The sequence below is a fragment of the Homo sapiens genome, chromosome 4, assembly GCF_000001405.40.
Source record: "Homo sapiens chromosome 4, GRCh38.p14 Primary Assembly".
Taxonomy (NCBI): domain Eukaryota; kingdom Metazoa; phylum Chordata; class Mammalia; order Primates; family Hominidae; genus Homo; species Homo sapiens.
In genome coordinates, this window is record NC_000004.12 from 125,123,735 (window position 1) to 125,137,130 (window position 13,396).

The window sequence follows — 13,396 nt, forward strand, 5'->3', positions numbered from 1 at the left end:
GTGTTATTAATGTGTATGGCACTTGTGCGTTGTCTTTTCATCATAATTTATTTTATTGGATTTTCCCCCATTCTCTTTTTCTCCTGTTTCCAGCATTTATTTTAGCACCCTAACTCTGGATGAGCTTGCATTCTGGAAAGGAATGCATCAAATTCCAAAGAATCAAGCCTTATTTTTCCAAAAATTGGGTGAGCGCCCAGGAGACATTTAATGCTTCATAGTTTTATAGTTTAAGCAATAAAGGAGAGGAAACTAATCCCCTCCCCTTTCTCATGGCCTCCCTCTAAAGATAATTGAAACAGTTTCTGTGCTCTTGCTGATTTCTTTTGACGCCCATGAACAATCTTGCTGAGGTGCATTTTTTTATTTCCTCTGCTATATCCATTATTGATTTTATTAATCTTCCAGGATGCAGCATGGATAGGATGTTATACAATTATTAGGCCAAATTCTAAAATATTTAAATGAGAAGGTAATTGATAGCCAAGTATGGGAAGTATTCTTGTGAATATAAGTTTTTATCAGGATAACATAATTCTTACTTTTAAGTTATTTCATTTTTATTTGGATGTTGAAATTTTGTCTGAAGAATATCTAGAGCTGTCATTTTCAAACCACAAAATTCCATTTCCAAGGTCAAAAATCATCAGAAATATAGCAACATATTTTATTTCTATTATTTTTTAAATCTCAGTTTTTAAATTATTAAACATGGAAAATGATTCACTTTTTTGATTTTTATTGCCTTTTTTGGCTCAATCTGTATTTCTATGAAATTAATGATTCATTATATAGCAAAGTCTTAATAAAATTACTTATTTGGTCAAGGAACGTGGCATGTATTAATAACTAGAACACCGGTAATGATTTTCACAGACTTTAGCTTGAGCTCTGCTACTACAACTTTTTCCCATTAATTTTATTTCACTCCATGAAAGCTGGAAAATATGCAGTGAAAATCAAGATGCACAACTCCAAGATCCAAGTTAAGAAGGAGGAAAGAAAAAGTGTTTTAATTTCACTTTTATAATGTTTTTGAATTTTTACTATTCTAGTTATCATGCTGATTCTATTTGTTTGTACTTAAAGCAAATAAATGGAAATTCTCAAATAATGATTTAAATATTCTCCCTTTAATTCATAAAAATAAAAGGCATAAGCCACTACATTTACAGTGGAAATTTTTAAAGGGCAAATCCAGACTATACGTTCTTTTACACCTTCTACATCTAACACTTCCTTTGAAATTTGATCACTACATCTGGAAAATATCTAAGAAGTCACCATATACAGTTTTATCAAATTGCTATATTCTTTTGTTGAGACATTTCCAAGTGCTGAAGAAATGAGAGATTAAATTAAATACAGTATTTAGGATTTTATGGTAGGAGAATAAATTATGGAATTTTAAAGACTTTAAATTACTTACACACTTTTTATCAGTTCTTTTATACAAATATGATGTGTGTTGATTGGGGGAAATCCTGAAGATTCAGGAGAGGATAAACAAGAGGAAATTATTGTTTCCCTACCCACATATAAGTCTGTTTACATAATGATGTCCACATTTTAGCTCTTTATATATTCATTCAATCAACAACTATTTACTCATAACTGGCTGTAGGCAAACACGATTCCAGACACCCAGCATCCTAATTGTAGTGGGAGGAACACTGAAAAGCTAAAGTAAGAACAACAGAATGTTTGGCATTAGAATGCAGTGGGAAGAAAAACAAAACAAGATAGCATAAAGCACAGCGGGAAAGGGCGAAGGACAAGTAATTCAATTGGGTGGTCAGGAAAGGAGGGAGGATATGTTGTTAAAAATAGAAGCTGAATAATAAGAAAAAGCCAGGCATAAGAGAAGAATTTCCAGGCAGTATGAGGAAAATAAAATGCAAACTCCTAATGTGGGAATAAACCTCAATGTAATGGAAGAAAAAAACACAAGAAATGACAGAAATTCTGGGAAATACGGAGTAAGGGAGAGATTGATAATGAAGTGAAAATGAAAAAGTAGTCAAGGGCCAGATTTGGCTATGGTTAGTTTAGGTTTTACTTTAACTTGAATTCAAAGTAATGAAAGCATTAAGTGTGCTGTAGTATGACATCCTTTTTTACAAAAGGTAATTTCTGGGTAGACAGTGGAATGTGTTGGGCTGTGGAGTACAGGCAGAGAGTTGAAGGAGTGGAATGGAGTCGTATGCTTTAGTTCCCATAAGAGGAAGGTGGCTTGTGTTGGAAGAGTGGCAGCAAAGAAGAAGAGAAGGAGGGAAGATTCACTATGTCTTGGAGTCTGACTCACAGGACTTGGAATAGGATAGATGGCAGGAAGGAGTAAGAAAAGAGGATGAAATCCAGAATGCCACCTAGATTTTAGAGTACGTAGTGGTACCATATACAGAGAAGGGATAAGATAGAAAAACAGTTAGGAGGGAAAGAACTCTGTCCAAAAGTTTCTTTCTTTAAAACATCTCATCAAAAGATGTTTGTTAGATATCCAAGTGGAAATATCAAATAGGCCTGTAAGTTTGGAGATATGTCTATGCGTGTGCGTGCGTGCGTGTGTGTATATGTACATATATATATATATGTCTATGTGGGTGTGTATATCTATATATATATACACACATATATGTCCGTGTGTGTGTATATATATACACATATATATGTCTATGTGTGTGTGTGTGTCTATATACACACACACACACTCACAGACGTAAATGTATACAACATATATGTATACAAACCATGTTTTTGTAACCTATTTTTGCACCTAGTTATTCACAATTGTACATATAATTTATAGACTATCATTTTAAAGACTACATAATATTTGTTTTGTAAATACAGCATAGTTTATATGCACTAATTCTCCTATTGCTGGACACGTAATTGTTTCTATGATCCTGGAGGGTTTTTTTTTTTGATTATTTATAACTCCATTATCATTGAAGATAATTATGCATATCTATTTTATTCCTATGGGTTAAATTTCTAAAAATGGAATTGACAAACCAGAGTTTATATGCTTTTACAATTTTTGATACTTTAGATCTAATACTGCTGCAGAGTGTCCTATCTCAATTTTCTTCAATAGTTTACAAGAATGCCATTTCTTAGTATTACTGCCTAATCCAGTTATATTTTGTTAATCTGTGCCATTTTGCCAGAATAAAATATCCCTGATTTGCAGTGTTACAAATATTCCTTTGATGCTGTTGATGGTGTGTAATTTTTTTATATGTATTTAGCCATTTGCCTTTCTTCTTTACTTAATTAGCTGTACGTGGTCTTTGGCTATTTTTCTTTAAAAGTTTTACGTTCTTCTTACTCATTTATCAGAAATCTTTATTGTTATTAACTTTTCTATAAACATTGAAAATATGCCTCTAGTTTTAACACCAGTCATTGTAATTACGGGGAGCTTTGATGTTTGAAGTAATATTGTAAAACCGTGTGTCAATATTTTCCTCTTTGTGATCTACTTTTTGACAAATACTTAATGTAATAAGGATTCTGACTCCACTTTCTGGTGTTATACATTTGATAACAATCCTCAAACCTCACTTTCTCTTTTCTGCCTCACACCTGGTCAAGCTGATTAAAAAAAGCCTGGGTGCTCCCTCCTTTGGTGCAGAGTAGGGGAGATTCAAGCTACCCAGGTCTGTGCTGGTACATGAGAGCCCTTACCCTGGCCTGACTCCCTAGCCACAACAAAAACCTCAAGCCAGACTCCATTTCTTGCTCTCTCAAACTATTTTCAGATCAGTTTAAGAAGACTGGTCTGTTCTTCCCCAAGTGCCTCATTCCATGGGTAATAAACATTTTCCTATCTTGGTGTGGTATGTGGCATCATGGGTCTTGGCACCTGAACCAAATTATGGCTAGGAGTTCATTCTGAATCTGCAGAGTAGCCGTATGACTGAGAAAGGAAATTTACAGCCGTAAATCAGTTAACTACTTGCCAATATTTTTTTACGTTTCTGCAAATCTGTTTTATACATAGGTAATTTCTTTGAAAATTAAATCTTTTTGGATTATGGCATGAGGTAAGAATGTTTATTTTTTCCAAACATTAAACCACTTGTTTCAACACCAATTAATGACTAGGCCATACTTTCTAATTATTTGAAAAGCCATATTATATTATAACTTATATAATTTAGCCAGAAGAGATCATATGATTCGTTATAGTCAGCTATTCTAATTATTTATGATCTTATTTACATTGTTCTACATTTTACATTTTATTACAAAATTTGCATAATAAACAAGATAATTCCAGCAGAACTCTATAGAAAAAACTGTTTTTTTAGTTATTAGTTAATTAACTTTTTCTTAATTATTTTCATTAAATATACCATAGTTTCTGTATAATTGTTAATGAACCACAAGAAGTTATTTGATTTTGGTGAATAGATTATTATTGTTACACTTGGGTTTCTAACTCAAGTTACGTGAAGTTTCTGTCTGTAGCAATAATTTAAAAAAAAAAGTTTCCTGGATCTTTGGTCTTTTGAAAACATTGATAGTTTAATTGTTGCCATATTATTGTTTTGTATCTCATGATTTGCAGCTTTAATTTATTTCCTGTCACAAATCACAAGTTTACCCCTGTTTGTTCTCAGGACGAATTAGAACTGTATACATTTTGGGTCAGGAGGAGAGAAGATGGGGGAAGGTCAACTCACTGAGGGGTCTGGTGCCAGGCCAATATCATATGTGTGATTTTTCAGGCAATTATAAAAGCATCACCTGATAGATCTCATGGGAGAAAGCTGCCCTCCCCACTTCAGCCTGGGTGCACAGTCTGAAGGGAGTTATAATCAAGGACTCAGCATTCCCAGGCTAGCCACACTTTGACACATGTTGCATTTTTAGCCAAAACGCCTCCATTCAGAGGACTTTTTATCCAGGTACTCTCATCCTACACACTATGTAGGTACCTCTGCTGAGACCTCCTTACTGGGGAGCCTTGATGACACTTTCTCCACTCTGGCATGGTACTTGCACTTTTCTACTCCTAGTCCTTCCTCATCTCCCTCTCCCTGGCCACTGGGCCCATTCAATGGCAGGAGCCTCTGGTTCAGGGTTTACCTCTGCAGCAAGACATTACTTCCAATCTGTGTTGATGTATCTGACCCTCACCAAATGCTGTTTCATGGAGAAAAATAAAACATTAAAGGAGACAGCACCTTTTTTCCAGCCTCATTTATGCTATCACAGTAAGTGAATAAAGCAATAAAGCCTTAATTGTTGCTTTCTGTTTGGCTTGTTGTCCTAATTAACCACCTCAGTACCTGGCATCTCAGCTTTCCCCAGCTCACCTTTTTTTATTATTATTGTACTTTAAATTCTGGGGTACATGTGCAGAACTTGCAGGTTTGTTACATAGGTATACATGTGCCATGGCGGTTTGCTACACCCATCAACCCATCATCTACATTAGGTATTTCTCCTAATGCTGTCCCTCCTCTAGTCCCTCACCCTCTGACAGGCCCTGGTGTGTGATGTTCCCCTCCCTGTGTCTATGTGATCTCATTGTTCACCTCCCACTTATGAGAACATGTGGTGTTTGGTTTTCTGTTCTTGTGTTAGTTTGTTGAGAATGATGGTTTCCAGGTTTATCCATGTCCCTGCAAAGGACGTGAACTCATCCTTTTTATGGCTGCATAGTATTCCATGGTGTATATGTGCCACATTTTCTTTATCTAGTCTATCATTGATGGGCATTTAGTTGGTTCCAAGTCTTTGCTATTGTGAATAGTGCCGCAATAAATATATGTGTGCATGTGTCTTTATAGTAGAATGATTTATAATCCTTTGGGTATATACCCAGTAATGGGATTGCCCAGCTTACCTCTTAACACTATCACCTTACTGTGTCGACCACTCCCCTCCCACTTTGGCTAGGATGTTACAAGGGCATCAAGCTATAGCAGCTGTGTTGGGCCAATACCAACCAAATGTTGGGGCAGAGATGAGAGTCCCTTCTGCTAGGTTGTCGTCTGTCAATTATAGGCAGCTGTTGAAAGATTTTCTTATTCATCATCCTGAAGAAGCACATTTAGCTCCTATAAGGAGCTTCAAGGATGTGCCTGAGAATGTCTCATCAAGTTACTATGGCCCTTATTTTGGTCTGTGTGGCTATGTTCCCCAAGAGGGTAAAGAAAGCACTTACATTATTATAACAACAAATAATGTACTGTACAGGAGGAAGACAGCAAACATGAAAATAGAGGCATATGTGGTGGGGCTTTAGAGTTTGCAAAGTGTCTTGGCATACATGATCAAACTTGGGCCTCATAACAATTCTTAATTGTAAATGGAGAAACCAAGACCTTAATGGGGCTAGTTCCTGATTCAGATATTTGATAATTAAACCCATATTCATTTGAGTAAGTCTGGTATTGAAGAGTGAGTTAACACTTCTTGAAAGCTATTAGGAGGAATGCCAAAGAAGTAGAAGGAAAAATAGTACTTTGGTGCCTTTTCAGGTTTCCATGGGCATGACCATTATTTTTCTCTTAGAAATGTATGAAACTCAGTAAGAATCTTAGATACAATTATGACAGAATTTCCTAGACTTCAATGTTATCTCTGAAACTCTCTCCAAAGATAACTATATTATTTATGAATGTATTATTGGGCATTACTTGAAAATATCCCTAAATTCATTGCAGATTTAGTCTAATTATTACAATGTAATAATTATTTTACTATTACATACCGTTAAGATAAAATAATTATAAAGAAATTGTCTATTAGTGAAAGGTAATTGGCAACATTAAAAGTGGTGAACATGCTCCTACTTTATGGCATTATCAACAGACTGAAGAAGCTGAAAATAATTTCCAAGATTAAAAGTGTAAAAGACAAATAACAATTATAAAAGGCAATTGAGAAACCATACATCTATTTTCTCACTTCTGAGATAATGTAATGGGGTAGAAGTTTTGTTTAGTTACTAAGGGCCTGAAGCCACACTATACTTTTTTTTATTATTTCTCATCTGATACATCTTGGTGAAAAAGAGGAGACGTATTATATGTATGTATGAAAAACAGTGTATGCTTCATCTTTGAGAATGAAGAAACTAAGATCACTTACATTGACTAGTCATGTTTGTAAGCCATAGGATGTAGATTAGAATTCAGGTTACACGAAGTGTAGGCATTCCAGAAATATGTTTCCTTGAAATGATTTTGATGCATGCACGCTGTAAAATCTGTTATTTTTTTAAGAAAAGGTAGCTAAAAGAAATGCCAATAAATGCCATCATTGCAGGTGCTGAACTTTCTCAAATTTGAAGTAATTTTAGCCAGTAAGTAAGTTGTTATGAAAATCAAGATTTTACACTAATTTTCCCTTCTATTTTCAGAGTTCTTTCCTTAGTAGGAACTTGTTAAAGGATTTTCTACAGGTGCATATTCACTTCTCTTACTGTACAACAAAAGGGAACCAATACAAGGAAAAATGAAGCGTATTGTTAAATATCAACTCCTGATAATTGGAGGCCTGAAGTAAGCCTTGGCAGACCAGAAATGACAAGATTCTATGAAGTTCAAATAAAACATACTGGAGGTCAATTAAAACAAAAAAACAAAAACAAAAACAAAAAAGACAGGTAGATGAGAAGCCTAAAGGTGAACCCACATTTTCAGTGCCACATTTGTCATTTACATGTCATTAAACTTATAACGCAGGTCTCTTTAGGTAAGTTTTCAAGATTTGATTTTCTACTTCTTAATTTAACTTTATGAATGGTAAAATTTCCTAGACAGTGTTATCCATTATTAACTAAAGATAATTGTATTATCAACAAATGCATTATTTGGCATTTTATTGCTTGAAAAATATCTCACATATATTTAATCAGCTTCAAAAATGGATTACAATGAGTGTTCTATATTAATATCATAGAAACATACTTACAAAAATCAAGTCTGTGTGTGTTTATATCTTTATTCAGGTATTACTATAAATAAACTGTAGATAAGAATTTTTCATGTAGTGTTCATAGCAACAAATTTTCTGAACTGAAAAATGTATTATATATCCCACCATTAAGGGGTTCTATTGACTTTTGTTCTTAATTTACATTTATAGGATTGTATTCTTCCCTGCCATTTTTCTTCCCCTTTCAGCATACCTTCTGCACTTAATTTAGCAAATATATATTTATCTATCAAATACACTATTTCAATCCCTATTATGGAGAATCAGAATCATTTGCATTCACCTGGCATGAATAGCAGCATATGTTTACAGCTTTGTCACAGAACTATGTTAACTTTCCTGATCTTTGTCACAATGAGGTCAGAGTGAGCTTAATCATCTGGACATTTCATGTTACATCATTCTGATCTATTATTTTGAGGGCAGCATGTTAACCTGACCTTGAGGAAAGTAAGTGGCAAGCACACTGGATGCCCTGTAAAACTTACACATCATCATTTTTTAGATAAATCATAATAAAAATTCAGGAACATGTCACACAAGTATAGTTTCTAAGTGTCCAGAGATTACGGGTGTGGTAATATACCTCCTTTAACATAAAAGACAAGTTATTGTACCCTGCGCCCCCTATCACTAAGAAAAAGGCACAAAGCTTGCTAGGCTTCTCCATATTTTGAAGATAGAATGTACCACACTTAAAAATACAGCTCCACCCCACTTATCAGATGACTTGGAAAGTTGTCAGTTATCTGGATCACATTAAAATGCTGTGCTAAAATCTGGCAAGCCAAAAAGGAGTGTCATAGCACAGACACTCAGGGTTTAAGGCAAGGACATACCAACTGCAGCAAAGAGCTATTCTGTTTAAAAGTGTCTCCTGAATTTCTGTTGAGCCCTAGTTAAGACTGCACAGCTGAGCATGAGATGTTAAGTGAATACAAAACCACAGGTGTTCTTCATGAGCTGCTGTATTAATCCATTTTCACACTGCTATAAAGGTACTACCTGAGACTGGGTGATTTATAAAGAAAGGAGGTTTAATTGACTGGCAGTTATACATAGGTTGGGGGGGGCCTCAGGAAATTTACAATCATGGCAGAAGGTGCAGTTTCCCTTCATATGTAAGCAAGGCACGTCTTACATAGAGGCAAGTGAAAGAGCGAGGAAGTGCCACACTTTAAAACTATCAGCTCTTGTGAAAACTCCCTCTCACAAGAACAGCATGGGGGAAACCACTCCCATGATCTAATCACTTCCCATCAGTTCCCTCCCTCAATACATGGGGATTACAAGTCTAGATAAGATTTGGGTTGGGACACAGAGCCAAACCATATCAACTGGGTATTATAAAAACCATCAAGTCACAAGGGCAAACAGGTACCAAAGTAACCCAAAATACAATTGAAATTAAACATTTTGAATCTGGACCAATCAAGTTTGGAAGACACAAGTAACTTACACATGCAGGTGACCATGCCATTTATCATTTTCACTGATGCCTCTCCCTCAGCTTACACCCGTGGTCTCTTGGGGTCTTCCTATGATCTGCTACTGGAAATGAAAAAACTAAGGCCTGGTTCATAGATGGCTGGATACACATATTAGCACAAGCTTAAGATGAACTGCTGTAACCCTAGAGCCTCACTGAAATGTGGCTCTGAATGACAGTGATGAGGGAATTGTATCTCAGTGGGCAGAGATTCAAATAATCAATTTCTGTGGAGGGAGAGCTGACCTGAGATCAAGATGTTCTCAGAATTCAGAGTAGCAGCAAATAGCTTAGCTGATTGGTTAGGGACTTGAAATGGCAACATTTAAACACATCAGGGGATGGGGGAATATGGATGTACGCATGGGATTAGCCACAGAGATAATGGATCTCTGCATCTCCAGCTGATGTTCACTAAAGAACATCCACTGCAGAGGTGTTGTATAACACAATAGAGACAATGAGTTGTCTAGCATAAATCAGCACACCACTAAATTTAGCACACTACAATAAAACTTATGAGGACCTGCTTGGTCAATAGGCCAGCCAGCAAAAATAGGTGTTTTTTTTTTTTCAGTATTGTAGTAATACTGTTCAGAAAAAAATTAAAAATAAAACTTAAAAGGTATTTTATACCAGAAGCACTAATTGATCCTGATTAATACGAGGAAATAAGGTTGCTGCTATAAAGTGGGCAGTAGGAGATACACTTGGGCAACTCATTGTGCTTCCATGTCTAGTAATAGTTGTAAATGGGCACCTGCAGCACTATGGTTTTACCAGGGCAAAGAAGTAAGCAGCTCAGACGCCTTAGGAATGAAGGTTTGAGTTCTGCCGTTAGGCAAGCATTCCAGAAGAACAAAGTGCTGGCTGAGAATGAGGGGTATCTGAAATTAAATGTATTGGAGAAACAAGACGAATGTCCGTTGCTGTAGTTTGTTTCACTAGATCTCCTTTATTAAGTCTTCCTTTGACCCCCTTAAATTGTGATTGACAACCATATTAAAGAAACAGCAATGAAAAGGATGAGTTCATGTCCTTTGTAGGGACATGGATGAAGCTGGAAAAGCTGGAAACCATCATTCTCAGCAAACTATCGCAAGGACAGAAAACCAAACACCACATGTTCTCACTCATAGGTGGGAATTGAACAATGAGAACATCTGGACACAGGAAGGGGAACATCACACACTGGGGCCTGTTGTGGGGTGGGCAGAGGGGGGAGGGATAGCATTAGGAGATATACTTAATGTAAATGATGAGTTAATGGGTGCAGCACACCAACATGGCACATGTATACATATGTAACAAACCTGCACGTTGTGCACATGTACCTTAAAACTTAAAGTATAATAAAAAAAATTTTTTTAAGTATAATAAAAAAAATAAAAAGAAAAAAAAAAAACAAACAGCAATGAGAGGGAATAAATTTAACATTAGGCCTGAGTGGATCTGAGCCATGCTAAATGTAGACTCTAGCATCCACTATGTATTTCATATCCCTTGAAGCTTTTTGTGTGTTCAGGTGGGCTTTCAAATGCCAGTATTTACAGGTATGTGCCTGAGGTATGTGTGTTTTTAAAAAAACAAAAACAAAAACAAAAAACAACTCCACAAAGCTGTAGTTCTCAACCAATTATTCTCTGTAGTTGCTGTTTAATTACCCAAATCCTTTATTACTCAGGAAGAATTGTGAGGTCTGCATTTTGGACCATTTTTCCAAGTTTTCCCAACACTTAACATGGTAGTCCCACTTAATAGTTCAGCACTGAATGGATACCCCTTTTCTGTATCACTTATCTTTTTCCCTAGCAGTGTTGCCTGCATTTCCCAAATAAACTACTTGACTTGAAGCCTTGACTAACAGTCTACTTTGGGGAGAACCCAAAATAATCCATTATGCCAGATATGGAGATAGATGAATAAAAGATGGGGTCCATGCCTGGAGAAATTTATATTTCAGAATTAAAGATTGAGACATAAGAAAATAATTATAGTGTGGTAACAGCTATAATAAAATTGAGTACAAATGCTGGGAGCAAACTAAGAGGAAAATACCTAACGTCCTGGGAGAAGCTAGGTGCATCGGAAACAACTTTGTGGAGGAACTGACACCCCACCAAAGCCCTGAAGGAATGACGAGTAGACAAGCTGCACAGCTTAATGGGAAACTCATTTTCAGATAAAATGATACACAAACACATACTTTTTGTTTATAATTGTTTACTCCTTTAAGGAAACTCAATCCAAATTTTGAGATTCTCTAATGTGAATCATTTCCTGTAGAAAGTGTGCCCTTGTGGAATATTTTTTTAAAAAGCGACACATAGATTAAAAGCTCCCCTAAATAGCTGGTTAAGCAAAGGACCCTTCTTGAGCCTATGAAAATACTACACAGACACACGTTAGTTCTTTCTGTTACTTCTGAAGAGAGGTTAATGGATTTCTTTTGCACGCCTTTTATGTGCAGGTTGCTGGAAAATGAAATTTTCCAGTTCCACAGTTCATCACTCTCATACCTGATTGCAAAAATTAGTGATTAGAAATGGGAATAAAAAGCGAAAGAATGTAATTTCCTTCCAGCTTTGAAACTGCTTTGAGACGGGAAATTTTCTGCTTCTTTATGATGTAATGTCTCCTCATACAATGTGCTGTCAGTAGTAATGAGTTGAGTGAGTTATTTTTTTCTCATATAAAAAAAGTGATCTGAAATATTCACAGGGTAAAAATGAGCCTCAAAACAAATGATATACTTCAGTATTTTCTTGAAGATTAATGTACCAGACATCTAATATTTTTTTTCCTTTCTACACTTACATAAAAATGTAGTTTTCCCTGTGGATCTGTTATTCACAAATAGTCATTTTTTCCTAATGTGTATTAGACTACATGACATTGGTTATAGAAGGATTTGTTCTTTCACAAATGACACTGGGTCTGGTACAAAATGATTGTGTATAATCTTTCAATGGCTATTTTTAGGTGAATAAAAGGATGATCCAATTAATATTGTTAATGGTGTACTAGCCAAATGCAAATCAAGACTCTTTAAAGAAAGATAATGAGGGAAATTATTTATGTCTTACTTTCTATTATCAAAGAATAATGGAAGACAAACTTAATCTTTGTTTCTTTCATAACTGAGTAGTTCCCGGAAGCCTATAAAGTCACTGGGAAAAGTTATTTGTATATTAAGGCTCAGGTCCTGCCTAGCTCTGACAAGAGTAATTTTATCTCCCACTTTTGAAATATGAAACTTCTGTTACTGAATTTTCATGATCTAGCAATGTTATGGATCAAAAACAATTTATGAAGGAAGTTAATATTTGTACAGAACTTGGCTATGCACATGGAGCTTCAGGCATTTATACATTTCTTCAAAATATTTTCTAAAGCATTTGTCATTTAAATATACTTTTTGTAATCTTTCATGGAGATAAAAGAAGGGTTATTCAATTAAGAAGAAGCTTAAAACTGAGAGGAGCATACTGAGTAGGATGTGAAAATGTCATAAATTTTTGATATATGTCAAAACTTCTCAATAAGTCACATGCATTCAATCTCTCCAGATATTAGTTATAGCTAAAATAGCTATAAAGAAGCTATTATTAATCAAAGTGCACCCAGTAGACAAAGAATATAAGAACAGAACAAGTTTTACCAATTCAATTTCAATATCTAAAGCTTATAACACAAGAATCCTTTACATTGCTAAGAATTAGATCTTTTAAGTAGGTGGGATTAAATATTACCCATTAAACAGACCATTATCCATAAACAAATGTTATCTGTTAAACAAGCCATTATAAAATTATGATTTATATTTTAATAACCATAATTTTTAGCTGCATGCAATCTGTGATTTTTATCTTTACGTAACAGAATCAGCTTCATTCATGTCATACCACTCAGAATGTTCAGTGGGCATAACCATAAGATGCTAGA